This window comes from Homo sapiens, chromosome 20 (genome assembly GCF_000001405.40).
Source record: "Homo sapiens chromosome 20, GRCh38.p14 Primary Assembly".
Taxonomy (NCBI): Eukaryota; Metazoa; Chordata; class Mammalia; order Primates; family Hominidae; genus Homo; species Homo sapiens.
This window is the reverse complement of record NC_000020.11, coordinates 31,552,555-31,578,960: the sequence shown is the minus strand read 5'-3', so window position 1 is coordinate 31,578,960 and position 26,406 is coordinate 31,552,555. Positions and strand designations below refer to the sequence as shown.

General features: G+C 52.0%; 1 protein-coding gene and 2 long non-coding RNA genes across 5 annotated transcripts in view, besides 10 other annotated features; 1 reads left to right on the top strand and 2 right to left on the bottom strand.

The window, feature by feature from the left end:
- LOC107985416 (uncharacterized) lies at window positions 1,182-5,951 on the bottom strand. The gene is made up of 3 exons (XR_005647051.2): window positions 5,523-5,951; window positions 1,583-1,621; window positions 1,182-1,357 (listed from the first exon to the last, which is right to left on the bottom strand). It is a non-coding gene; the product is annotated as an uncharacterized LOC107985416 (long non-coding RNA).
- Window positions 3,747-3,916: a silencer, noted in NCBI's record as "fragment chr20:30162848-30163017 (GRCh37/hg19 assembly coordinates)". NCBI's record gives its function as "represses an EF-1alpha promoter that drives an FKBP-Casp9 reporter gene in an ReSE screen in K562 erythroleukemia cells {active_cell/tissue: K562}" and the evidence as "EXISTENCE:reporter gene assay evidence [ECO:0000049][PMID:32094911]".
- Window positions 5,419-5,998: a silencer, noted in NCBI's record as "silent region_12758". NCBI's record gives its function as "represses an Ori minimal core promoter by ATAC-STARR-seq in GM12878 lymphoblastoid cells {active_cell/tissue: GM12878}" and the evidence as "EXISTENCE:reporter gene assay evidence [ECO:0000049][PMID:35858748]".
- Window positions 5,419-6,341: a biological region, named in NCBI's record as "H3K27ac hESC enhancer GRCh37_chr20:30160423-30160964".
- Window positions 5,698-11,374, top strand: HM13-AS1 (HM13 antisense RNA 1). The gene is made up of 3 exons (NR_046853.2): window positions 5,698-5,819; window positions 6,038-6,162; window positions 11,013-11,374. It is a non-coding gene; the product is annotated as an HM13 antisense RNA 1 (long non-coding RNA).
- Window positions 5,800-6,341: an enhancer, noted in NCBI's record as "H3K27ac hESC enhancer chr20:30160423-30160964 (GRCh37/hg19 assembly coordinates)". NCBI's record gives its function as "activates a minimal SCP1, AML or CMV promoter by ChIP-STARR-seq in primed H9 embryonic stem cells {active_cell/tissue: H9 hESC(primed)}" and the evidence as "EXISTENCE:reporter gene assay evidence [ECO:0000049][PMID:30033119]".
- Window positions 9,061-9,355: a silencer, noted in NCBI's record as "tiled region #9809; HepG2 Repressive non-DNase unmatched - State 5:Enh". NCBI's record gives its function as "represses a minimal TATA promoter and a strong SV40 promoter by Sharpr-MPRA in HepG2 cells {active_cell/tissue: HepG2}" and the evidence as "EXISTENCE:reporter gene assay evidence [ECO:0000049][PMID:27701403]".
- HM13 (histocompatibility minor 13) overlaps window positions 9,418-26,406 on the bottom strand; it is a 55,102-nt gene continuing 38,113 nt past the window's right edge. Inside the window, exons 8-13 of one of the 3 annotated variants that reach the window (NM_178580.3) lie at window positions 24,132-24,215; window positions 19,314-19,350; window positions 17,225-17,327; window positions 12,666-12,751; window positions 10,681-10,883; window positions 9,418-9,841 (exon numbers count right to left, since the gene is read on the bottom strand). In NM_178580.3, coding sequence (NP_848695.1) covers window positions 10,733-10,883; window positions 12,666-12,751; window positions 17,225-17,327; window positions 19,314-19,350; window positions 24,132-24,215 — 461 coding nt within the window. In that variant the 3' untranslated portion in view covers window positions 9,418-9,841; window positions 10,681-10,732. The remainder of the gene's footprint in view (window positions 9,842-10,680; window positions 10,884-12,665; window positions 12,752-17,224; window positions 17,328-19,313; window positions 19,351-24,131; window positions 24,216-26,406) is intronic. The other 2 variants (NM_178581.3, NM_030789.4) reach the window with 2 other exon arrangements.
- Window positions 11,422-12,297: an enhancer, noted in NCBI's record as "H3K4me1 hESC enhancer chr20:30154467-30155342 (GRCh37/hg19 assembly coordinates)". NCBI's record gives its function as "activates a minimal SCP1, AML or CMV promoter by ChIP-STARR-seq in primed H9 embryonic stem cells {active_cell/tissue: H9 hESC(primed)}" and the evidence as "EXISTENCE:reporter gene assay evidence [ECO:0000049][PMID:30033119]".
- Window positions 12,009-12,148: an enhancer, noted in NCBI's record as "active region_17683". NCBI's record gives its function as "activates an Ori minimal core promoter by ATAC-STARR-seq in GM12878 lymphoblastoid cells {active_cell/tissue: GM12878}" and the evidence as "EXISTENCE:reporter gene assay evidence [ECO:0000049][PMID:35858748]".
- Window positions 12,298-13,173: an enhancer, noted in NCBI's record as "H3K4me1 hESC enhancer chr20:30153591-30154466 (GRCh37/hg19 assembly coordinates)". NCBI's record gives its function as "activates a minimal SCP1, AML or CMV promoter by ChIP-STARR-seq in naive H9 embryonic stem cells {active_cell/tissue: H9 hESC(naive)}" and the evidence as "EXISTENCE:reporter gene assay evidence [ECO:0000049][PMID:30033119]".
- Window positions 17,177-18,376: an enhancer, noted in NCBI's record as "P300/CBP strongly-dependent group 1 enhancer chr20:30148388-30149587 (GRCh37/hg19 assembly coordinates)". NCBI's record gives its function as "activates an origin of replication core promoter dependent on BRD2, BRD4, P300/CBP, MED14 and CDK7 cofactors, with strong dependence on P300/CBP, by STARR-seq in HCT116 cells {active_cell/tissue: HCT116}" and the evidence as "EXISTENCE:reporter gene assay evidence [ECO:0000049][PMID:35650434]".
- Window positions 23,712-24,211: an enhancer, noted in NCBI's record as "H3K27ac hESC enhancer chr20:30142553-30143052 (GRCh37/hg19 assembly coordinates)". NCBI's record gives its function as "activates a minimal SCP1, AML or CMV promoter by ChIP-STARR-seq in naive H9 embryonic stem cells {active_cell/tissue: H9 hESC(naive)}" and the evidence as "EXISTENCE:reporter gene assay evidence [ECO:0000049][PMID:30033119]".

Here is a 26,406-nt window from a genome sequence, read left to right as displayed (position 1 = left end):
TTCGGGGAGGTGTGGAGAGAGAGGCAGGGGTGGTAACCGGGGCTGCGCCTGGCGCTTGCGGGCCAGCTAGAGTCCCGGGTGGGCATGGGCTTGGCGGGCCCCGCACTTGGAGCGGCTGGCCGGCCCGCCGCCCCAGGCAGTGAGGGGCTTAGCACCCGGGCCAGCAGCTGCAGAGGGTGCACCGGGTCCCCAAGCAGTGCTGGCCCACCGGCGCTGCGCTGGATTTCTTGCCGGGCCTTAGCTGCCTCCCCGTGGGACACGGCTGGGGACCTGCAGCCCGCCATGCCCCCCCGCCCCATGGGCTCCTGTGCAGCCCAAGCCTCCCCTACGAGCGCCGCCCCCTCCTCCATGGCGCCCGGTCCCATCGACCCCCCAAGGGCTGAGGAGTGCGGTCGGCACACGGCCTGGGATTGGCAGGCAGCTCCACCTGCAGCCCCTGTGCGGGATCCACAGGGTGAAGCCAGCCGGGCTCCTGAGTCTAGTGGGGACTTGGAGAACCTTTATGTCTAGCTAAGGGATTATAAACACACCAATCAGTACCCTGTGTCTAGCTCAGGGTTTGTGGATGCACTAATCGGCACTCTGTATCTAGCTAATCTGGTGGGGACTTGGAGAACCTTTATGTCTAGCTAAGGGATTGTGAATACACCAATAGGCACTCTGTATCTAGCTCAAGGTTTGTAAATGCACCAATTAGCAATCTGTGTCTAGCTCAGGGTTTGTAAATACACCAATCAGCACTCTGTATCTAGCTAATCTAGTAGGGACGTGGAGAACTTTTGGGTCTAGATCAGGGATTGTAAAAGCACCAATGAGCACCCTGTCAAAACGGACCAATCAGCTCTCTGTGAAACAGACCAATCAGCTCTCTGTAAAATGGACCAATCAGCAGGATGTGGGTAGGGCCAGATAAGAGAATAAAAGCAGGCTGCCCGGCTCTGCAGTGGTAATGTACTGGGGTTCCTTTCTGCATGGGGTGTGTGTGTGTGGTGGTGTTTTTTTTTTTTTTTTTTTTTTTTTTTTTTTTTTTTTTTGCTGTTTGGTTCCACATTGCTTTTGTGAGCTGTGATACTCGCTGTAAAGGTCTACAGCTTCACTTTTGAAGCCAGCGAGACCACAAACCCACGGGGAGGAACGAACAACTCCGGATACGCCGCCTTAAGAACTGTAACACTCACCGCGAGGGTCTGCAGCTTCATTCCTGAGCCAGTGAGATCACGAACCCACCAGAAGGAAAAAACTCCCAGCACATCCGAACATCACAAGGAACAAATTCCAGACACGCTGCCTTTAAGAACTGTAACATTCACTGCGAGGGTCTGCAGCTTCGTTTTTGAAGTCAGTGTAGACCAAGAACCTGCCAATTACAGACACAATGCGACTATAGGTGTGTGCCACCACGCCGGAGTAATTTTTGTATTTTTAGTTTAACCATGTTGAGCAGGCTGGTTGTGAACTCCTGACTTAAGGTGATCCACCCGCCTTGGCCTCCCAAAGTGCTGGGATAACTGGCATGAGCCACCAAACCCGGTCCATCAGAATAGATTCTCACAGGAGCAGACACTGTCAGTCAAACACCTACCCCGTCCCCGCAACATGCACGCATAGTTGCATAGAGAACCTGTCAAGAAGAAAGGATCCCGGTCAGGCAGAAAGAGGCTCAGCTTCTCCCCCAAAGTCCACACCTAAGAAATCTGTTTTCCAGACTCAGTACCCTGGGTTTTCCCTCACCACCTCTGCATCTGAGTGTTACCAGTGCCTCCACCTCCCCTCCCGCACTTCAGAGCCCAGCTGGGACCTGGGGTAGCCTGAGAGGGGGTGGGTGGCCAGCTTCCGGCAGCAAAGGAAAGCATCTGTCTGAGGTGGGCAGGCCCATGGGGGTCTGGCAGCAAAGGAAAGCACCTGTCTGAGGTGGACAGGCCCATGGGGGTCTTGAAGCAGCACCTTCGCTGGGTACCCCCAACTGGGCTGATCCCAGGGGGCACAGAGCTGGGACCCATGGTTTTGGGAAGGCAGTAGGGAGGGCCCATCAAAGACTCCACCAGGCATTCTCTGCAGGGGTCTGCCTTCACATGAAGATAGCCTTGTTTGTCACACCTGTCTGCCTTAAAATGACAAAGGTTGGATGCTGTCTGGGTGTGAGATGAAATGGCAACTGACTGAAATGGGAAGAAAGTTAACTATGGAAAAAATACTTCATTTAGATCTGATTTGGGTTAAAAAAAAAAAGCATAGAAAAAAATCTGAAAGTAATCTATGGGTGGCCAAATGTGCTGTTTTATTTTCAATGTTTTTTACATCTAATTTTCTTTTTTTTTCTGAGACAGGGTCTCTGTCACCAAGGCTGGAGTGCAGTGGTGCGATCATGGCTCACCTCCAGTTCAGGTGATCCTCCCATCTCAGCCTCCCGAGTAGCTGGGACCTCAGGTGTGAGCCACCAGATCCGGCTAATTTTTGTATTTTTTTGTAGAGATAGTTTCGCCATGATGTCCATGCCAGTCTGTAACTCCTGGGCTCAAGCGATCCACCTGCCGTGGCCTACCACAGTGCTGGGATTACAGGCTTAAGCCATGGTGCCCGGCCTTTTTTGAGACCTGGTCTTGGTCTGTTGCACAGGCTGAAGTGCAGTGGCACTATCATGGCTCACCCAGCCTTGACCTCCCAAGCTCAAGCAGTCCTCCTTGGCTCAAACAATCCTCCTGCCTCTGCCTCGTGAGTAGCTGACACTACAGGTGTGTGCCATCATTTCTGGCTAATATTAAATTTTAATTCTGTAAAGATGAAGTCTTGCTATGTTGCCGACGATAGTTTCAAACTCCTGGCCTCAAGCAATCCACACACCTCGGCATCCCAAAATGCTGGTATTACAGATGTGAGCCACCGTGTCCAGCCTAATTTTTTTTTTTTTTTTTTTTTGAGACTGAGTCTCCCTCTGTTGCCCAGGCTGGAGTGCAGTGGTACCATCTCGGCTCACTGCAACTTCTCCCGCCTGGGTTCAAGCAATCTCCTGCCTCAGCCTCCTAAGTAACTAGGATTATAGCTGCCCACCACCACACTTGGCTAATTTTTGTTATTTTTTTTTAGTAGAGATGGGCTTTCACCATGTTGGCCAGGCTGATCTCAAACTCCTGACCTCGTGATCCACCCGCCTCGGCCTCCCAAAGTACTGGGATTACAGGCGTAAACCACTGTGCCCGACCTTTTTTTTTTTTTCTTTTTTTGATAAGGAGTCGTGCTCTGTTGCCTAGGCTAGAGTGCAATGGCATGATCTCGGCTCACTTGCAACTTCTGCCTCCCGCGTTCAAGAGATTTTCCTGCCTCAGGCTCCCAAGTAGCTGGGATTACAGGCACCCACCACCATTCCTGGCTAATTTTTGTATTTTTTAGTAGAGACGGGGTTTCACCATGTTGGTCAGGCTGGTCTCGAGCTCCTCACCTCAGGTGATCCACCTGTCTCGGCCTCCCAAAGTGCTGGGATTACAGGCATGAGCCACCGCGCCCGGCCAAGAAAATTTTTTAGAGATTGGGAGGAGTCTTGCTATGTTGCTCAGGCTGGTCTTGAACTCCTGGCCTCAAGCATTCTACATCCTTTTGCGTCCCAAGTGCTGGGATTACAGGTGTGAGCCATGTCCAGCCTAATTAAAAAACTTTTCTTTTTTTTTTTTTTTTGAGACGGAGTTTCACTCTTGTTGCCCAGGCTGGAGTGCAATGGCACCATCTCGGCTCACTGCAACCTCCACCTCCTGGGTTCAAGCAATTCTCCTGCCTCTGCCTCCCGAGTAGCTGGGACTACAGGCGCGTGCCACCACACCCAGCTAATTTTATTTCATTTTTAGTAGAAACGGGATTTCACCATGTTGGCCAGGCTGCTCTCAAACTCCTGACCTCAAATGATCAGTCCGCCTTGGCCTCCCGAAGTGTTGGGATTACAGGCGTGAGCCACTGCACCTGACCATATTTCTTTTTAATACAGACAGGGTTTCACCATGTTGGTCAGGCTGGTCTCTAACTCCTGACCTCGTGATCTGCCTGCCGTGGCCTCCCAAAGTGCTGGATTACAGAGGTGAGCCACAGCGCGCCCGGGCCAAAGTTTTAAAAATACAAAATGAGGCCGGGCGTGGTGGTTCACGCCTCTAATCCCAGCATGTTTGGGAGGCCTAGACGGGCGGATCATGAGGTCAGGAGATGGAGACCATCCTGGTTAACACGGTGAAACCCCGTCTCTACTAAAAATACAAAAAAAAATTAGCCAGGGTGGTGGTGGGCGCCTGTAGTCCCAGCTACTTGGGAGGCTGAGGCAGGAGAATGGCATGAACCCGGGAGGTGGAGCTTGCAGTGAGCCGAGATTGCGCCACTGCACTCCAGCATGGGCGACACAGCGAGACTATGTCTCAAAAAAATAAATAAATAAAATAAAAAAAAAATGCAAAGTGAGCAGGGTGTGGTAGCACGCACCTGTAGTCCTAACTACTCAGGAGGCTGAAGTGGGAGGATGGCTTGAGTGCAGGAGTTCAAGGTTACAGTGAGCTATGACTGCCACACTGCACTCCAGCCTGGACTACAGTGAGAGCCTGTCTCAAAAACCAACAAGCAAAATACCCACCCACACACAGCTTAGTTTACATATATAGCAAAAATCTTCTTCCAAGCCACCTAACTCCTTTGTATATTCCTTGCCCTCAAATTTACTCAAAATAGTATCTCCCTTTTTTTAATATTTTGGAGACTCTTCCATAAATATCTATTGAGAACACACTATGTGTGATTTCCATGTATTTATTTATTTTACTTAATCCTCACAGCCATTATGTAGACGAGGAAAGTGAAGCTCAGAGATGGGAAGTCACTTGCCTGAAGCCGCAGGTTGGTAAACATTAGACTCTAGGTAATTTGATAATTTGTGTCCATTTATGAAGTGCCTGCTGTAGCCAGGCCCTCAGGATTGTCCCAAACCTTTATAGTCACTCTTACAACAAATACTGAGTGCCTTCATGTTTCAGGCAATGGGCCAAGTGTTGGGGCTACGGTGGAGAGGAAAACAAAGGCTTAGCCCATGGTTGAGGGAGGTTCAATTGTTCACCCCATTTTTCAGGTAAGAAAACCAAGGAAGAGAAGGGAAAGAAAGTGTCCTGAGATCACACGGTCACACGAAAATAGCTGAGGCACGGCGCGGTGGCTCACGCCTCTAATCCCAGCACTTTGGGAGGCCGAGGTGGGAAGATTGCTTGAGCCTGAGTTCGAGACCAGCCTGAGCAAGAGTGAGAACCGCCGTTTCAACTAGGGGAAAAAAAAAAAAGCCAGGCGTGGTGGGACACACCTATATTCCCACCTGAGGTGGGAGGATCGCTTGAGCCCAGGAGGTCGAGGTTGCAGTGGGCCGTGATCGCGCCACTGCACTTCAGCCTGGGCGACAGAGTGAAACCCTGCTGCACAAATAAAAGAGAAAAGGGAAAAAGAGCGGAGACAGGCAGCCCCGCTTTACAGGTAGGGAAAGTGAGGCACAGAGAAGTAAAACGACCTACCCAAGGAAACCCATCTAGTAAAGGCAGGGACCGGGATCGCAGGCTCTTGGAGCTCACCAGTCCCCGCCGGGCGGTGCTTGGCCCCTCCTTCCCCTCCGGCGGGCGTGGCCCGGCCGGGCCCGCCCCCTCCCCTGCGCGCGTTCCTGGCAGCCCGGCCGGCGTTTCCTGCCTGCGTCGCTGAGCTGGCGGGCGGGCAGCCCATCTGGCGGCCCCCGCGGGGCGGCGCGGGGAGGCGGCCCAGACTTGCTGGAGCCAGGCGCCGGCCCGGGGGCCCCCCTGCCCGCCTGGAGAACCCAGGTGTGGCCGCGGCGGGGGTGGGGGGTGGTGCTTTCCTTCCCGCTCGCTCGGCCCTTCCTGACGCACCAGGGCAGGATGCAGCCTCCTCCCGTCCTCTCCTCGGCCTCCGCCTCCCGCGCCCTGGCCCGGAATGCTGGAGGGAATCCAAACGCAGGGCGGGGAGGCAGGGGCAGGCCCCTGAGGCCCCGCCCCTGATAGCCATTTGATACCACCGCTAGTCTTGCCCGTGTTTGGGGTGACTCAGCTTCCCTGCTTGTGCAAGAACAGCTGAACTCTGACCTCCTGAATGGCCGACTCTTGCCTTGCTCCTCAGGGACCCCAGACACGATCGTAGGAACCGGAGGTACTACTGCCCTAAGCCATAGCGCTTGACATTATCCATTTATTCAGCAGTTTCAAGTCGCGGCAAGCGGCGTTTGACCACTTCTGTTCCCTGCCCAGTGCTTAACTGGTACCTGGTGCCGGCCTGATGGAGGCTCTGAAGGCTTTCCCTCAGAAAGCTGGACCCGCCCTGGGAAGCAGGTCCTAACCCCCCTTCACAGTCGAGCACAAGACCGCTTCATTCACACTGCAGGAGCCAGCCCTGCTGTCAGACTGACGGTGCCAAACCCCCTTCTCCAATGCTGCCCCCAAAAGGAACCAGGGATCCATTATCCTGATCATGTCAAACGGCACCACGGTGAATACGAGTCTTGGAAGCCAGACACTCTGGGTTCACATGCCCCCTGGGCCCGCCCTTACGGTCTCTGCCTCAGTTTCCCCATCGTAAGAATGATGTAGGTACCTCAAAGTGTTGTTACAACGATTAAGTAAATCTTAAGATACATTTGAAACTTGAACACGGGTTTCAATTGTGCAGGTGCACTTAAACGTGGACTTTTTTTCTACCTCTGCCACCCCTGAGACACCAAGACCAACCCCCTCCTCTTCCTCAACACAGAGACCAGGATGAAGATCTTTATTTATGATGATCCACTTTCACTGAATAATTTTTTTTTTTTTGAGACGGAGTCTCACTCTGTCCCCCAGGCTGGAGTGCGGTGGTGCAATCTTGGCTCACTGCAACCTCCGCCTCTTGGGTTCAAGTGATTCTCCCACCTCAGCCTCCTGAGTAGCTGGGACTACAGTCGCCTGCCACCATGCCAGGCTAATTTTTGTATTTTTAGTAGAGTCGGGGTTTCACCATATTGGCCAGGCTGGTCTCGAACTCCTGACTTTGTGATCCGCCTGCCTCTCTCGGCTTACTGCAAGCTCTGCCTCCCGGGTTCAGGCCATTCTCCTGCCTCAGCCTCCCGAGTAGCTGAGACTACAGGCGCCTGCCATCATGCCCGGCTAATTTTTTGTATTTTTAGTAGAAACGGGGGTTTCACCATGTTAGCCAGGATGGTCTCGATCTCCTGACCTCCTGATCTGCCCATCTTGGCCTCCCAAAATGCTGGGATTACAGGCATGAGCCACCATGCCTGGCTCTTAGGATTTTCTTAATTACATTTTCTCTAGCTTACTCTATGGTAGACAGTGTAGTACGTATAACATACAAGATGTTTTGACTGTTTATGTTATCAGGTAAGGCTTCTGGTCAACAGCAGACTATTAGTTGTTTTGCGGGACTGAAAAGTTATACAGATTTTCGACCATGATGGGTTGGTGCCCCTAATCCCTGTGTTGTTCAAGGGTCAGTTGCACTAGCATAATGCTAGTCACGTGAAATACAGTCAGTGCACACTGGGGTCTCAGCAGGGCTGGTTTTCCCCTTGGAACCCTCTCTCTTGTCGCAGTCATGGGAGACTGAGGCACAGAAACAGAATCTAATAAAGCAGGGTAGAACTTGGGTTCTAGAGCAGTTTCCTAATAATCCACCCCAAACCAGGTGAGGCTGGCATCTAGCCCACTCGGGGCCCTGCCCAACCACCCACACCCCCTCCCCAGCATGCAGGCCCAATCCTTGCCCGGCCTGGTGCCATTTTTCCATGGGACTCTGATGGTGGCGGTTCACATCTGGAGTCTAGACTCGCAGGCTCTGCGGGCCAGGCCTACCGCCTGGGCTGGGCCACCACTGCCCGCTGTTTGCTCAGCTGAAGCTGGTTAATTGGAATTACAGTGGCCTCTGCGGTGCCGGCTGGCCGGGCGGGCCCTAGTCCGCTGCTCCGGAGGTCTGTGGAACATCTGGCTGGACCAGGACAGTCATTAGGTGGCAGGCGCTCGGCGCCACTGCCACCTCAGCCTCTGCCGGGGGCTGGTGGTGACTCAATAAGGCCTTTGTGCGCCCTGGGCCGCAGAGCCAACCATGCTATGTGCCTGGGCCGCCTGCCCCATCTGCCTCAGAGGGGCCTTGTTCCAGGACCACATGGCCTCAGAGTTGGCTGGAGTGGGTAGAGATTCCAGAAGCCCCTGAAAGGGAACCCCCCTCCCTGAAAGGAAGAAGCCTTTTGAAATTTTCTACCCCTTTTCCTTCCTATAGAACCCTGGAGCCAGTAAAATTGGGTGGCTGGGGCTCAGGGATGCCCAGCACACCAGCCAGTGACTTGGTCCCAGGGGTCTGGGGAGGAGCTGCGGTCCTTAGGAACCTGGAATTGTTTGGCTTGGCTAAGGTCAAATCGATGTCCATGGGCAAGCTGCCTCAATTCCCTCATCTGCACAGCGGAGCGAATAATAGCACATACAGCCCAAGACTCAGAAGGAAGTGAAATCCTATATCAAGGTGCTTAGTGCATGTCAATACCTAGTGAGGGTATTACAGTCATACTCCTGAGTCTCTGGTCATGATTGTCCTTTGGCCACTTCCAAACTGGAAGCCACTGTTATTTTCAGCCTTTGAACCTGAAGCTTGGGCAAGGGAGAGCCCCGGGTCTGTCAGTATGGTGGCCACCCGCTCCTGTCTGTTTCCCCACTCAGTGACCTCATACCAGGTGGGTGGATGAGGGTTGTGGCCACCGTTTGCCTGGTTTGGGGTGGTGCCCGGTCGGTCTCCTGCTGGCCGGGGCTGCTGTCTTCAGCAAACTTTAGGGAAACCCGGGCGCTGAGATTTCAGCTCTTAGGCCCCAGAAGGCCTCTAAGAATCACTAGCTCAGTCCTTCCCCACCCCAGCCTCTAGAGGTCCTGGCCCTTGTGCCATGACTGGCCCCACAGTAGTCATTTTGGGAAGAAACCCAGGAATGGGCAGAATGGGAGACAAAGCCTTGATCTTCAGGGCAACCTAGAGTCTGAGCCCTCATCAGCCGAAGCCATATGGGCACAGGGACCAGGGAGGCTGGCAGGTTCTACAGTTACTGCTTCCCTTGTGAGTCAGGTCAGCCCTGGGTACTCCCCACCACTCTCACCATGGTGAGTGGGAGACTCTCATCTGCCAACACCCTTGCTGCCCCCAAGTATTTCGAGGAAGGTGGTGAGAAAAGTGCTAGCTGGTGAGAGAGGGCTCGTGGGCCCCCTCTACTGGCTAAAAGGTGTTTTACGGGTGCAGGGCTGGCCAGGCACTGGGGTGGGCACCCTTAAGGGGCTTGCAGAAAAGATTTTGGGTGGGCAGGTGAGACCTAGAAAACCCAGGGCAAGACACTGGGTGCTTAAACAGAGAATCTTCCAGGAGCACAGTGGCCCGCCCTGGCCATGGGATGAGTTTTTAATGTGAGGCAAAATCAGTCCACAATACAAAATCTAAAAATCACACCCACTTTTCCCACCTGGCTCCCGGGGAGGGGGGAAGCTGGGGGTTTCTTTTGCCTGCAGGGTGTGGGGAGGAGCAGAGGAGGGCCAAGAAAGGGAGAAGGAAACAGAGGCCACAGAGGCCTGGCTGGAGGTATCCTGCTGCCCCCTGCCCTGTCCTGGAGCTGCCCTTGGCCTCCTGTGCCCTCTACCGGTGCACGCCTGTGTGGGCCCAGCCCCCATCTGTCTGGTCTGGCCCTGAGAGGCTCGGGCACCAGCTGCATCATTTCTCTTTCTTCTCCAGCCCCTTCGATGCTGATGCCTCTGTTCCCTCTTTGGATTCTGTCACTGCCGCTGGATCCTTAGGATTTGACTCCTCATAACTGACCAAAAAAAAAAAAACAACAATAAAAATTCATTTAGAGGAGAGGGTGAGCAGAACCTTGGTTGTCCCCTTCCCCCACCCCCATCCTAGGAAAGCGCCTGGTCACATGCAGAGCGTCAGCCCTGTGTCCACTGCCCAGCACCTAACAGCGCCTGGCCCCAGCCCTACCACATGCCCTCCTCAGGCAGGCTGCTCTGCTTTCTCTGAGCCTGGGGGTACCAGGAGGCAGCAAGGGCAGCAGCCAATGGAAGAGAGGTTGGGCCTGGGCTTGTGTGGGCTGATTTCAAGCTTCCTGAACCTTCTGCTGTAGCGTGGAAAAAGGGGTGGCCATGACAAGGCTACAAGAGATGGAGATAGGCTGCCTCCCAGGGCACACAGCATGAATCAAACAGCTCAGCCCCAGAGGTGAGGGCACTGCTGTACTGGCAAGCGGCAAGGTGCTGCTCTGAAGACAGACACCCTGGCTTAGCTTCTTCTATGGGCTTCATTTTTCAAGCAACTGAGTTCATGCCAAAGATAATACAAATCTTTCCTCACCAGATAAACCCCGTGAGGCAGGAATGTGCCCACTTACAGATGAAGAAAGTAACTTGCCTAAGGTTATACATATACCTTGAATGGTAACAGTATCTACTACTGCATGACAAGGGCCATTTCCATCCACTATGATGTGGGCCCCGCATTACTGGTGAGGGCAGGAAGCTTCGGGGTTGTCCTGCTTCCCAGCCCTATGGCTCGGTGCAACCACTGCCTGGTGGTTGTGGAGGAGCTGCTCTTGCGGCCTACTCCTGGCAATGGTCCCTGCCCTATGCACTGGAGCTGCAGTGTCTGCCCTACCTTGGGCCCCGGGGCAGTAGGGGGAAGCGGGCAGGTGGGCACCCGCTGGGCATTACATGGCGCTGGGATTCTGCGGGCGCCGGCGGCGAGGGCCAGCTAGCTTCTGCTGCATGGAGTCGGCCAGGCTGGCTGGGGAGCCCGAGACTGTGGGGAAGTGGGTGAGCCTCGGGGTATGAGGCAGGATTTCCGCCGAGGACTCGTAGCTGTGTGAGAGAGAGAGAAGAGACAGAAAAAAAGAGATGGATAGGGAAAGACTAAGGGAGGACAGAGACTTCCTTTCCAAGGAGCAGAGAGCAGAACTGTCTTGTTTTTACCTATTTTTGCACTTCCAGATTTTATGGAAAGAAGCTGATATTATTTGGAGAATGAAAAAAGAAAGATGCACCTAGACAAAGGCACATCAGGCCACTGTGCAGAAGAACAAGCATGCTCTAGAAGTGTATGTGCTGCTGTGGAAACACCTCTAAGAAATACCGTAGAAACCCAATGTGCAGAATGCTCCAAGAATGCCACCGTCTGTGCAAGAAAAAGTATACACACATCAGTGCACAGGTGTCTGAATGTCTGTGTAACACTGCTGGCCTCTGTGGGGTAGCTGGAGCATGAGGGTGCTCTCTCTGTTACAGCTTTGGAATTTTTAACTATGTGAATGTGGTACCAATATAAAAATAAGTAAATCAATAAAAAAAGGAGGAGAATAGAAGGGAAAAGTAAAAAGGTGGAGAATTGGGAGAGAAATGGGGAGAAAGGAGGGAGAGAGAGAGAGAGAGAGATCACTTGCTTTTTACCCCAATCTAAGAATGTCCAGGGTGGGAGTGGAGGGCAAACAGTGGGGGCAGGGTACCTGTATGGCAGAGCATTTAGCACCAAGCAGGTAAAGGCCAGGGGCACCCTCTGCCTTGTGTATTCAGAGCTTTGCCTGATGAGGGCACAATAGCATTGGGTGGTTACCCCAAGGGGAGGGGCAGGGAAACCTGGGCTGGATGGGAAGCAGAGGGAGGGTGAAGGATGGGTGCTAAGCTCAGGGATCGGGTGCCATGCCTGCTCCCAAAGCTCCCTGAGACCTGTCCCCAAGTTCACCCCTAGCCCCCACTTGCCTCAGACCACAGAGCTTTGCTGGGCGAGGCAATGTGGGCAGGCAGGCGGGGGGCTGGGGATTCTAGACAGGACAGGGAGGGCAGAGGCAGGTCCGGGGGAGGGGTGAGTCACAGGCTCCCCTGCGGGGAGCCAGGTGCACAGGAGGCCCTGGCAAGCGCTCTAGGGACAGCTTGGAGGCCAGGCAGGTGGAACTGGGCGGAAGGCACCCGAGTAGGCAGCTTTAATCGCAACTGACAGCTATTTCTAGGTCCCTGGCAGGCAGGGTCGGCAGTGCTGGGGGCAGACACCTGTTGGAGTCACGCAGGCCTTGCGGTATGGGTGGGGCTGTGTGCAGGGTGTGGTAGGTGTGGATATGGCCCTGGGGAAGGGGTATCTGTGTGAGATACAGATATAGAGAAAGCAGTGAGCTGTGGGTTAAAGCCACAGAGGTGAATGAACAGGGACTGACACCTGCCTTCTACTCGGGGCACTTTCTACCACACTAGGGCATCCCACACGCCCCCTGTTCTATTACTCACATGTGAAAACTGAGGCCATGGGAGGGGAAGACATGCCTGAAGTCACCTGGGGGCAGAGTCACCTAGGACTTCTGACAGTAGGCAGAGAAAAATCCACAACAGCTATTCTTAAGATCCAGCTAACATTTGGATGGGGGATGCCTAGAGGGCTCTGATGCCTTGCGCTCCCCTGGCTCCTGGCCCAGGGTAAGGTTCCCACTGGTGTCCACAGGCCAGGTACCCATGTACTGCTGAAAAAGGCAAGGGGTGGGGCTGGTGGCAGGAACAATGTTCCCCTGGAGAGGTGTAAAGATACCCCCAGCAGGTTCCACTGACTGCCAGCAGGCACACTGGTGCCCATGAGGACATCTGCCCCCCACTCTGCCTTACCTGAACATCTCTGTCACTTCTCCCTTGGCCAGCGCCACCAGGACAGGAAAACCGATGCAGGCGGGGACCAGGTATAGGAGGGCAGGCTATGAGAGGACACAGGCTGGTGAAGCCATGCTGGGCACGGCACTGCCTCAGGGCCGTGCCCAGCACCCCAAACCCCTTCTGGGCTGGACTGAAGGACAGTGACTGGTCCAGGACCATAGCAAGTCAGTGGCTGGGCCTGAACCCAGGGCTCCTAACTCCCAGACAAGGGTTGCTCCTCCCGAGAGGGAATGCAAGAAAACTAAGAAACTCAAGTAGGCAGGGCTTCAAGGGTTCCCAGGGGTTTGGCTGGCAGCATCTGAATCACCTAGGTCACCAGGTTCAAAAAGCAACTTCCTGGTTTGGTCCTACTCCCAGAGACTCTGCTTCCTGAGGTCTGGGGCTCACACCTGCATTTTAGCAAATGCTCCAGGAGATGCTATTATAGTGATGATGACACCACAGCTGCTATGTAATAACTACTTGTTGCAGCCTGTATTAAGGTGACCTAGCTGGTCACTGGCTCCCCCAGGATTCACACCCAAGCAATTTGGCATGTCTGTGCTGAGACTCCTGGTAAAGCTGGGTTTGGAGAAAAGGACGGTTATACTAAGACCCTGTTCATGAACATCTACTGTGCAGGCACTGAGCTTAGCCTTCCCAGGAAGTCAGCCCACTGCCACATCCCATGATGGTTATCCTTTTGCAGAGGAGGAAGACCAATGCTTCACAAGGAGAGGGAAAATAGCCCAGGACTCAGAGACCCAAATCTTTTTTTTTTTTTTTTTTTGAGACAGAGTCTCTGACTCTTGTTGCCCAGGCTGGAGTGCAATGGTGCAATCTTGGCTCACTGCAACCTCCGCCTCCAGGGTTCAAGCGATTCTCCTGCCTCAGCCTCCTGAGTAGCTGGGACTACAGGTGCCTGCCACCACGCCTGGCTAATTTTTGTATTTTTACTAGAGATGGGGTTTCACCACGTTCGCCATGGTGGTCTCGAACTCCTGACCTCAGGTGATCCACCTGCCTCGGCCTCCCAAATTGCTGGGATTATAGGCCTGAGGCACCACGCCCAGCCCAAAGAGTTTCTTTCTTTTTTTTTTTTTTTTGAGATGGAGTCTGGCTCTGTCACCCAGGCTGGAGTGCAGTGGTGTGATCTTGGCTCACTGCAAGCTCTGCCTCCCAGGTTCACACCATTCTTCTGCCTTAGCCTCCGGAGTAGCTGGGACTACAGGTGCCTGCCACCATGCCCGGCTAATTTTTTTGTATTTTTAGTAGAGACAGGGTTTCACCGTGTTGGCCAGGATGGTCTCGATCTCTTGACCTTGTGATCTGCCTGCCTTGGCCTCCCAAAGTGCTGGGATTACAAGCGTGAGACACCGCGCCTGGCCGAGTTTCTTTTCTTTTCTTTTTTTTTTTTTTTGTGATTTTGAGATAGAGTCTTGCTCTGTCTCCCAGACTGGAGTGCAATGGTGCGATCTTGGCTCATTGCAACCTCCGCCTCCTGAGTAACTGGGATTACAGGCATGCGCCACCATGCCCGGCTAATATTTGTATTTTTCAGTAGAGATGCGGTTTCACCATGTTGGCCAGGCTGGTGCACTTGAGTTCTTTCACATGGAGTCAGGTCCCTTGCTACGTGCTCTGTAAGTCCCTCTAATTTCCCTCACAGCATTCCTCAGCAATTTTTTTTTTTTTGAGACAGGGTCTCACTTTGTCTCCCAGACGGAAGTGCAGTGATATGAACATGGCTCACTGTAGCCTTGACCTCCTGGGCTCAAGTGATCCTCTCGCCTCAGTCCTACAAGTTGCTGGGCCTACAGGTGTGCGCCTCCATGCCTGGCTAATTTTTGTATTTTTTGTAGAGACTGGTTGTCACCATTTTCCCCAGGCTGGTCTTGAACTCCTGAGCTCAAGTGATCCACCTGCTTTTGCCTCCCAACGTGCTGGGATTATGGGTGTGAGCCATCGTGCCTGGCCTCCCCAGCAATTTGTAATGGAACATCCCCATAGGTGGTGAGTTCAGTGAGGGCGGGCCCACAGCTGTCTTGCTCACCGTAGTGTGCCCTGCATACTGAAGAGGGCCTGGTAAATACTCAGTGAATGGCTCCTTCATGGTGCGTCTTCATGGGTGCTCATGAAGTGAAGAGATTGTCCTGGAGAGGGTGAGGAAACTTCATTCTTTTTTTTTTTTTTTCTGAGACAGAGTTTCCTTCTTGTTGCCCAGGCTGGAGTGCAGTGGTGCGATCTCGGCTCACTGCAACCTCCGCCTCTCAGTTCAAGCGATTCTCCTGCCTCAGCCTCCCAAGTAGCTGGGATTACAGGCATTCTCCACCAAGCCCGGCTAATTTTGTGTTTTTAGTAGAGATGGGGTTTCTCCATGTAGGTCAGGCTGGTCTCAAACTCCCGACCTCAGGTGATCCACCCACCTTGGCCTCCCAAAGTGCTGGGATTACAGGTGTGAGCCACCACGCCTGGCCGGAGACTTCATTCTTAACGTAAAGCCAGCCCTTGGCCAGAGAACAAAGAAGTCTTTCCCGCATGCCCTTGATCCTAACATTCAGACTTATTTCTTGCCATCTGTCATAGGTGGGCTGTGATCAATACTGCTTTATGTATATTAAATTATTGAATCTAACAATCCCTAAGTAGGATGGGTGTGGTGGCTCACGCTTGTAATCCCAGCACTTTGGGAGGCTGAGGTGGGCAGGTCAGTTGAGGTCAGGAGTTTGAAACCAGACTGGCCAACATGGTGATACCCTGTCTCTACTAAAAATATAAAAATCAGCTGGGTGTGGTGGTGCACGCCTGTAATCCCAGCTACTTGGGAGGCTGAGGCAGGAGAATTGCTTGAGCCCAGGAGGCGGAGCTCCAATGAGCTGAGATCACACCACTGCACAAAGGCAGAGGTGACCCTTACCTAGACCAATGCTAGCACTGGGACTACCTGTGTGTTGGAGAGCAGGGGACCCCATGGGACAGGGTCCCCTCATGTCCTGGATCCCCTTTCCAAGGATTTTCAGAGAGGTACCCACTTGGATGACTGGGGAGAAGGGCTGGGCTGCTGCTGGGGAGTAACACAGGCCTTGGGGCAGGGTTCAGGAGTTCATTAGTCTGGAGTCCAGATCGCCACCCAGGGCCCAGCCTGATGTAGTGTTCGCGTTCTCTCAGCGCTGCAGTTTTCCGATAAAGGAGAGGACTCCTGTGTGCCAGAGCTCTGAATGGGAGCCTCTTCTCAGTCCAGCCAGGCAGAGGGTGAGGCTGCCACCTTATGGCCACTGGGGGAATTGGCTCTGGGCTTGGACTCCAATAAGGGGCCGGGAGCTGCAGAGACCTCCAAAAGGTCTCTTAACTAGTCCTCCAAACCAGGTCCAGTCACTCTCTGTGACCCTTGCCATACGCATGTTACTCTCACCTTACACGCCATTGAAGCCCTTGAGCAGAAGTGAGAGGCAGTTCCACAATGGTTGTTCTTGGTTTTTCTAATTATGGGCTAGGGGCCTTTTGACCTTCTATAAAGTAATACTGTACTAGGACTAAATGAGTTATTAGCAAAAGAGTTTAGCACAGTGCCTGGCACAGAGTGATTAAAAAAACCCCAGCTTTTGTGATTAATTCAAAGATGGCTCGTCTGTATTTGGGCCCTGGGGAAGGGGAAAGGGGACAGAAGCAGCAAGCCCAGAGTTCCATGGTTACTGGGTGGTGCTGGGATTCACAACAGGGCTCCCTTAGCCCCTGTTCAATGCTGCGTTTCCCATGGCCAGGGCTTGAGAGCCTGGGTGTGGTTTCCATGCTGACCCAGGTTTGAATCCTGGCTTTACCACATACTTGCAGTGTGTCACCTGAACTCCAGTTTCCCCACCTGTTCACAAGGATCCTCATGAGTGCAGAGCCTGACATGTGGAAGTGCTTAACAAACAGGAGCTCTTATTATTTCCAGTAGAAAGTAGGGCAATCCTGTCTGCTCACTTTCCCCTGAATCTTCCCCTCTCCAGGCCACACTGAGGGCTCCCAGTCTTTGTGCTATGTTGCTTCATTCTGTGGCAGCTCAGTACTCCATCCTCATCTTGGTGGGAGAAGGAGGCAGAGCCTGGTCTACTAGGGAGTAGGGGGAGGGACGCCCCAATACCCAACACCCACTCCAATCCTGTTCTTCTCTGCCTGCTTCCCACTACCAAGGCTGAGAAGCCAAATCCTCTTTCCTGGACTCTCCTGTAGCCAGGGTGGCTTTAGGACCCCAGTCTGGCCCATGAGATGCTGAAAGGGTTCTGGGAAAGTTCCTGCCTTCCTGATGAAGGCAGCAGGCATGGCTGTTACGCTTTTCCCTCCTTCTTGCCTCTAACGTGCCCATGCTGCCTAGAGCAGTGGCAGCCATCTTGCAACCACAAATGGAAGGCCAAGAGAATCACAGACATGACTGCTCCAACACCAGTGGGGAGTGCCTATCTCTGGACTGCTTGCATTTACAAATAAATCCCTCTGTAAGTCCCTCTATTTGCAGTGAGGCATTCCTGACACTCTGATACCGTCCTGCCCACCTGAGCATGCTTGAAGATGTGCATGATGAAGATGGTAAGGCCCAGGCCGAAGATGTAGGCTGCAAAGCTGGTGTAGAAGTAGGTGTGGGTATTCTTCTTCAAGCTGCAGGGAAGGTGTGAAGAAAGAGGAGGAGGGTTAGATATAGGGACTGAACTAGTAATACCCCTTCTGAGGGAGCTGGGGAAGACCCTAGAGGTTGTGGGGGGGTGACTGAGCTCTGGGCTGGGAGTCTGGAGGTGGGTGTGCACGCTGATACTGCCCCCAGCTATGTGTCTCTGGACAAGTTGCTTTCCTTCTCTTAGCCTCAGTTTACTCATCTGCAAAATGGGAAAATGAGCTCATCTCCTTGGTAGTTATGAATATCAAATGCTGCAACTTATAACAGTGGCTGTAAGACTTTAGTCAGCATAAAAATCATCTGGAAAGCTTGTGAAAAAATGCAGGATTCTAGGTCCCACCCCCAGGGAGTCTGATCTAATAGCTCTAGAGCAGGGCCCAGGAATCTGCATTTTGAAAAAAACATCTGAGGTGAATCTCATACCGTTGGATCATGCTTTGAGAAACACAGATACAGAAACTGCAAAGATAAGTTACTACTTTTAAGTGCAGTGGACGTAATAGTTCAATAGCCTATTTGTGGTACTAACTAGATGCTGGCTGCATGAATAAATGCCAGTGGCTTCCTGGAGGTGATTCATCCAAGATCAGCTTCAGAACAGATGAATCATATACAGCCCGGCATTGCCATTACGTGACTTCCCTCTCCAATGCCAGCTCCGTAACCTCTGCATGTCCCCAGCACCTGGGATGTGCCCAGCCAGTACTATGGACTCAATTAACATTTGTGGAATGAATGAGTGCTTCTGACCCCCTTCTCTCCTTGTCCTGGGTGCTTCTAAGCCTTCGGCTGCAAGTACCTTGAGAACTCACCTATCTTGAGAACTGGGATACAAGTGACTCCCTTTGGGAATGTTGCACTGATTCTGGAAATCAGCTGAGGAGCTGCTTATGCTGTGAGCCCAGGCTAAAAAATGAGACTCTGTCTCTGAGGGTGCTGGCAGTTGAATCTGTCTCCAGCAAATAGCCTGGGGGCTTCTTATGGGTTTCACTTTGTATTACCTCTGAACAGCCAGGAGTAGAGACGGCTGGCACAGACATCCCTCTACTTACAGACTGGCCAGGTCTCTTCCAAAGGTGACTGTGAGCCCATATGCTCCTAAGGTTTGAAGTGGCACTACACAAATAACCCAGGTGTATGTGAGTGGGAAAAACCTAAGTTTCACATGGAAACTGGATTTCAATGATGCTGGTAGTAAGTTTCTCATTACCACTGTCACTGTTATTACTGCTTTTGCAACTATCAGGCATGAGGAAATCAAGAGAAGTTCACAAACCACCTCAAAGTTAAGTGCAACATTGCCAGCCCTCACAGGGATGACGGGGCATAAAATGATGGAGCTGTTGCTGGCGCCCCCTGCTGACGGCAAGTCCCATTGCATAGGTGCATTAACTTGGATAAGACCTTTCTTGTGTTTTAAACGCTGACCTAAGTTGCCCACCTTCTCCCCCTCGTGCTCACTGTCTACAACAGACTGAAAAATGTCTGAGTAAAGAGAGGGCAGGGAACAGCTAGAGCAGCTGAGACATGGTGACCTGACGCTAGGCTGATAAAAGATGATGATGATGACTGCAACCAGGATTCAACCAAGAGCGACTGAGGTCAGTGTGTGCTCAGCACTCTCTCCAGATTTTCATGGTAGGAACTCTTGTTATTAACTCAAGATGAGAAACCAGAGGCTCAGGAAGGTCAGGCCACTTGTCAAGGTCACACAGTGAGAAAGCACTGTGAGTACCACCAGGCCCTTGTGGGTTTAAATCTCTTGGCCTATGATTCTTAAAACAATTTTTTGACCACAGGCTCTTCAAATACTTAGAACTTCAAGATGCAAAATGCAGATAAAATCAGAATTGCTCTGGCTGCTGTGGGGGTGGAGGGTCTGGTCTCCTGAGGTACCTTCTCTGGGCTCCTGAAGGCCACTGGAGAATCCCTGGAGAAGCCCATGCTGGGGCAGGCCCTCACTCACTCACCTGATGTCAAAGCGCAGCAGCAAGGCAATGAAGATCCCTGTGGGAGAAAGCTGGGGTTAGAGAGTGGCAGGGAAGCAGCAGGGCAGTGAACTAACAGGAGACTGGGTCCTGGTCCCCAACCTGGTGTTCCATCTTGGAGCAATCATTGGAGACCAAGGGTGTGGCCAATACTCTCAAGTGACAGCAGAAAGTCCCATTTCTCTACCTAGAACAATGAGAGGGGCCCAGGATTTTGCTTTGGCCTGGGACTACAATGACCCAGCACCTCACCGCATCATACTATGTCACACCGTGTCTGCCCAAATGCTTATCAAGTGCCTATGTACCAGGCACTATGGGAAATGTAGGAGTAGGCAAAATCGCTGCTCCCACAGAGCTCAGCCAGGGGGACAGGGTAGCCACACTATGACATACCTCAAATAGTCACGGAAATCATTGTGAGATTGTGACTGTTAAAGAGTGCTTCCACTTTGGAAGGCAGAGGTGGGTGGATCACGAGGTCAGGAGTTCCAGACCATCCTGGCCAACATGGCGAAACCTCGTCTCACTAAAAATACAAAAATTAGCCAGACATAGTGGCATGTGCCCGTAGTCCCAGCTACTCGGGAGGCTGAGGCACAAGAATCACTTGAACCCAGGAAGTGGAGGTTGCAGTGAGCCAAGATCGCGCCACTGCATTCCAGCCTGGTGACACAGCGAGACTCTGTCTCAAAAAAACAAAACAAAACAAAACAACAACAAAAAACAAAAGCAAAAATTAGCCAGACGTGGTGGCAGGCACCTGTAGTCCCAGCTACTCGGGAGGCTGAGGCAGGAGAATCGCTTGAACCCAGGAGGCAGAGGTTGCAGTGAGCCGAGATCACGCCACTGCACTCCAGCCTGGACGACAGAGTGAGACTCTGTCTCAAAATACAAAAAACCCCAAAATGAGCTGGGCATGGCAGTGCACGCCTGCAATTCTAGCTATTGGGAGGCTGAGGCAGGAGAATTGTGCTTCCCATGTTGTAAGAAGGTGTAACAGGATGAGACCTAGGCTGGGCAGGGGTGAAGGAGGGGAAAGAAGGAAGGCTTCTTGGAAATGCCACACGCCAGGAGGAGAGAACAGCATGTGCAAAGGTCCTGGAGAAAGAGTGCTCAGGAGATGTGGCAGGGACTGAGGGGTCACTAAGGCAGCTTGCCTACTGGCAGGAGATGAGGAGATAGACCAGCCCTGCAGGGCCCCGAGGACCATGGGGAGGAGTTGGGTCTTTATCCTGAGTGAAGAGACGCACTGGAGGAGTTCTGAGCAGAACAACCTAAACACATTTTGAAAAAGGCCCCTGTGGCAGTGCGTGGCTGGAGGGGGGAGGAGGAGGGGCAAGCAGTGGGCTATTTGAAGGCTCCACAGGAGCACAGGAGAGGGTTACCTCGGTCCACCCACTGCACTCTGAAACTTGAAAACCAAGCCAATTGTAAGCAATGGTTCTGCTAAAAAAGAAAAAAGAAAAAGAAAGAGACATCCCGGAAGCCTAAGCAACCCCAAAACACAGCCAACCAGTCCTGTCCCTGTGCTATACGCACACCCTGTGTGTCGCCTCCCTTACTGGGCTCTGGGCTCTGAGTCTCATTTACTTGAAGGAAGGCGCTGAGAAGCACTGCCTGGCCGGGTGCGGTGGCTCACGCCTGCAATCCCAGCACTTTGGGAGGCCGAGGCAGGCGGATCACCTGAGGTCAGGAGTTCCAAGACCAGCCTGACTAAAATGGTGCAACCCCGTCTCTACTAAAAATACAAAATTAGCTGGGTATGGTGGCACATGCCTGTAATCCCAGCTACTTGGGAGGTTGAGGCAGGAGAATCACTTGAACCTGGGAGGTGGAGGTTGCAGTGAGCTTAGATTGTGCCATTGCACTGCCTGGGCAACAAGAGCAAAACTCCATCTCAAAAAAAAAAAAAAAAAAAAAAAAGAAGCACTGCCTGTCAACTGTCAACATATGATTAATTTTAAAGAGGGAAATGAATTAGTTCTCAATGAATACTCTGTAGGAGTAGGGAGTTGGTTGGGGATAGAGCAGACAACTGCAGTTATTCTGGAATCAAGCTGGGAACTCAGTGCCCCCTGGCGGCTGATTTCTACGAGTGTTCTCCAACTAATCCAGGGGTCAGAGCTCTGCCAGGGATTTTCACTCCTAAAGTGCATCTGGCCTTCCAAACAACGCTCCACTGTGATCAACTTACATTTATTGTGATTGCGGGACTACTGGGGATATATATAGAGGGTGGGGAAAGGACAGATATGCCGAGATGTCCTGTGCCTGTCTCAAGCCTGGAACTTATGACAAGGACACAGGGGAAGTTTGTGTGGGTGAATGACAGACCGTGCCCTTAAGAGTGAGCCAGATGCTTTACAGGACTCCATTTCTTTTGTCTGACAGAGATGCCTTCTACTGGGGAAGCAAGTCTCCCTGCCTCACAGCACTGCAAATTATGAAGACACATGGGTGCAAGCCCATACCCTCGTGGCCTCAGGCAAGTCAAACCTCAGTTTCCTTATCTGTAAAATGGAAATGCCCTCTATCTCACTGGACTGCTGGGAGAAGTAAAGATGACATATAAAAAGTACCTAGCACCATTCTTTTTTTTTTTTTTTTTGAGATGGAGTCTGGCTGTGTGGCCCAGGCTGGAGTGCAGTGGTGCAATCTTGGCTCACTGCAAGCTCCACCTCCCGGGTTCATGCCATTCTCCTGCCTCAGCCTCCCGAGTAGCTGGGACTACACGCGCCCGCCACTACGCCTGGCTAATTTTTGTATTTTTAGTAGAGACGGGGTTTCACCATGTTAGCCAGGATGGTCTCGATCTCCTGACCTCATGATCCACCCGCCTCAGCCTCCCAAAGTGCTGGGATTACAGGCTTAAGCCACCGTGCCCGGCCGGCCACCTAGCACCATTCTTGGTACACGACAGGTGCTTGATAAATGGTAGCTGTTGTGATTACCGTCTTATTACTGCTAGTGCTGCTGTAAGGAGCAGTTCTGACAGCGTAGCCTTTTTTGCAGTTGGACAGTGCTGGTCTGAGTCCTGGCCCTGTTGCTTACTAGTGTGTGAATTTGTATCATTCCCTTTACTTCTGAGCTTCAGTTTCCTCACTGGTAAAACAGGGAAAGCCTCTGTGTCACCTCCATGTGTCACAAAATGCAACTGTCACAAATAGAAGTGCCTGTATCACCCTAGGTGATCAGAATTGCTATAATATCCTACCCTGGAAAGTAAGTCAGCCTTTAATCTGCTGCTTTAAAATAATTCCTCTTCTTTTAAAAAATATAGACGGGGTCGGCCAGGCGTGGTGGCTCATGCCTGTAATCTCAGCACTTTGTGGGGGCCGAGGTAGGTGGATCACCTGAGGTCGGGAGTTTGAGACCAGCCTGACCAACATGAAGAAACTCCATCTCTACTAAATATACAAAATCAGCCGGGCGTGGTGGTGCATGCCTATAATCCCAGCTACTTGGGAGGCTGAGGCAGGAGAATCGAGAATCGCTTGAACCAGGGAGGCAGAGGTTGCAGTGAGCCGAGATCGCGTTATTGCACTCCAGCCTGGGCAAGAGCAAAACTCCGTCTCAAAAAAAAAAAAAAAGGAGAAATAATAATTTTATATATATATATGGTCTCACAATTTGCCCAGGCCAGACCTCCTTCTTTAAGAGACAGGGTCTCACTCTGTCACCCAAGCTGAAGTGCAGTGGCACAATCATAGCTCACTGCAGCCTTGAACTCCTGGGCTCAAACGATCCTCCTACCTCAGCCTCCAGAGTAGCTGGGACTACAGGCATGAGCCACCACGACTGGCTAATTTTTTTTTTTTTTTGTAGAGATGAGGTCTTGCTATGTTGTCCAGACTGGTCTTGAACTCCTGGCATCAAGTGATCTTCCCCACGCAGCTTCCCAAAGTGTTGGAATTACAGGTGTGAGCCACTGTGCCCAGCTAAAACCTTCTTTTAAGCAAGCTTCTAACCCTCTCACTCTGAGGCTAGGAAGACAAGTATGTCCCTTGGGTTCACTGCCCCCACAACTGGGCCCAGATAAGCAGACACACCCGAGCCTCAGCCACTTCAGCAGCTCAGCTTTGCCCTTAGTCTCTTTCCTGACTGGTAGTTTGAGCTGCTCCTGCCCCAAAGTGAGGCCAGGCTGTGGTTGCGCAGGATGTGCTATCCTGCTTGGATTGTGGACAGGGCCCGTGTCCATACCCACAGACACACTGACTAGAACCCACACGCAGATCCAGGGGCTCAAAGGCCAGCCTCTGCAGATAAGCAGGTGTGCACGCACATGCTCCTCTGCTGAGAGTGCAGACAGGAGCCCATGTGTGTGTTCTCCCTGGAGATGTCTTGGCACAGGGAGGAGGAGCAAGGGGGCTAGGGCAATTCTGGTACATCTGTGATGCTTGCAGATGCTGGGAAGGGGTATGTGTATGTGTGGGTGTGTGTGACAGGGGTCCAGTCTGTTAAGATTGTCATGAAACGTGCTTTTTCAGAGTGTACCTCAATCTGTCATTAGACTTTTACTTTTGTAGTTCTTGAGCAACATCTGCTCACCTAGACCAGAGGCTCTGTGAAGACAGTCTTGTTCACTGACACCTGACCAGGACCCAGCTTGGGGCATGGCACCTGACTGGCCCTCCGTAAACGGATGTTAAGGGGGAACCCTTCACCAATCCCTGGCCTGATCCAGCCTTACCTTTTCTCTTTCTCAGCTGGTAAGCCTGTCTGTTTAGCAGTAATCCCCTTGCTCCGGGGAATACCCTCTCCACCCCTTTCACATAGCCCCCACACCAGCAGGCTCACCTGGAATGACGACATCTCCAAGTCCCAGCATGGCAAAGTTGTTTGCTTCGAGGCCTTTCTCCAGCAGATCCTGGGGAAACACCACTGAAGCGGGAGGCGGGAATGTGAGGAGTCAGCTGGAGCCCAGTTTACATTTTTTTTTTTTTTTGAGACGGAGTCTCGCACTGTCACCCAGGCTGGAGTGCAGTGGCGCAATCTCGGCTCACTGCAAGCTCCATCTCCTGGGTTCATGCCATTCTCCCGCCTCAGCCTCCCAAGTAGCTGGAACTACAGGCGCCCACCACCGCACCCAGCTAATTTTTTGTATTTTTAGTAGAGACGGGGTTTCACCGTGTTAGCCAGGATGGTCTTGATCTCCTGACCTCGTGATCCTCCCGCCTCGACCTCCCAAAGTGCTGGAGTTACAGGCGTGAGCCACCGCTCCCGGCCTACTTTGTATTTTTTTTTTTTTTGAGACGGGGCTTGCTCTATTGCCCAGGGCAATGAGGACTGTAATCGGGAGTGCAGTGGCACGATCTTGGCTCACTGCAACCTCTGTCTCCTAGGCTCAAGTGATTCTCCTGCCTCCTGAGTAGCTGGGATTTTAGACGCCCGCCCCATTTTTGTATTCCCAGCTTACTTTGACTCCTAACCCCCCATTCTTGTTGTATGAAACTCACACATTTGTTTCTGGGTGGGATGTGGGGGATGGGGACGTGAGAGGATGCAGGGCAATGTCTCCATCTGGAGTCACAGCTGGTTAGAGTGGGGAGGAATAGGGTCATCTAGGCTGAAGATTTAATGCCTTTACTGAGCTATAACTCAAATAACCATACAATTTCAACGCCTTTTTATAGCTATTGAACCCTTTGGTTAAATGGGATTGACCCTAAAGCCCAGTATATAAAAGAAAAGAGCCACACAGTGCCAACATCTACAAGGTTTCCCATCTCACTATAACAGGGGTATGGACAGATGTTGGCCCTTGTTCTGAAGCAGGGTGAGCCCGGGCTATAAGCTCCTTCTGTATTTGCTGAGGGAGAAAAGGCTACACACCCGCAGATTGCTTCCTTAAAGCCCCTCACTCAGAAATCTTGCTGGACAGCTTGTCTGGATAAATACAGATTAGGGAGAAACGCCTCCCTCTGTGTCTAGTTATAGCAAAAGGAGGTTATAACTGGATTTCATCCATAGGGCCTTGCAAGCAGAAGAGCAGTTATAAGTGGGCCTTAGAGGCTGACTTGTGGGTCTGTAGGTCTGAATCCTAGTTCTGTGCTCTGCACAGGTTACTTACCTGCCTTAGTTTTGTCACCTGTGAAACGGGTAGACAACAGAACTGACCCCTCAGGGTGATAGTGAAGATTAGATGATTTGTACACAGTTAACTGCTACCTCATGCCTTCTTTACTAATCCAGTCCTGGTTTTGTGTTAGGCAGCCTTCCCAGGTGATAAGTGTGGTGCAAGACTAAGCCAATCAGGAAAATCCTGTTCCTTGAATTCCTTACTTGCAGGTAGGGGGTCAGCTCTGGCCAACATTTTTTTTTTTTTTTTTTTGAGATGGAGTCTCGCTCTGTTGCCCAGGCTGGAGTCCAGTGGCGCAATATCGGCTCACTGCAACCTCTGCCTCCCGGGTTCAAGTGATTCTCCTGCCTCAGCCCCCTGAGTAGCTGAAATTACAGGCATGCGCCACCATGCCTGGCTAATTTTTGTATTTTTAGTAGAGACAGGGTTTCACCATGTTGGTCAGGCTGGTCTCGAATTCCTGACCTTGTGATCTGCCCACCTCAGCTTCCCAAAGTGCTGGGATTACAGGCGTAAGCCACCACGCCTGGCCATTTAATTTTTATTTCTTTATACATATATACATATATATTTGAGACGGAGTCTTACTCTGTCACCCAGGCTGGAGTGCAGTGGTGTGATCTTGGCTCACTGCAACCTTCATCTGGCCAACAACAGGTACACAGAGGTGCGTGCACAGGGATTCTGAATAAGCTTGTGCTTCCCTAATACATGGATAGGTACCCTTGCCCTGCCTGCCTCTTCCTGCCTTGAATGTACAACGCAGTGATTTACAGATTTTCTCTCTCAATCCTGGTACCATTCAATTTTGAGTGGCAGAGACTATTGTCACCATTTTACAGTTCTAGAAACCAGGGCTCAGAGAGGACAAGTCTTCTCCCCAAGGCCACACGGTCAGCAAGTGGCAGAGCTGAGATTCAAGTCCAGGCAGCCTGATGTCAGCATATGAGCACTTCACTGTTCTGCCTTTCTGCCACTGAGCACTAGTCCTAG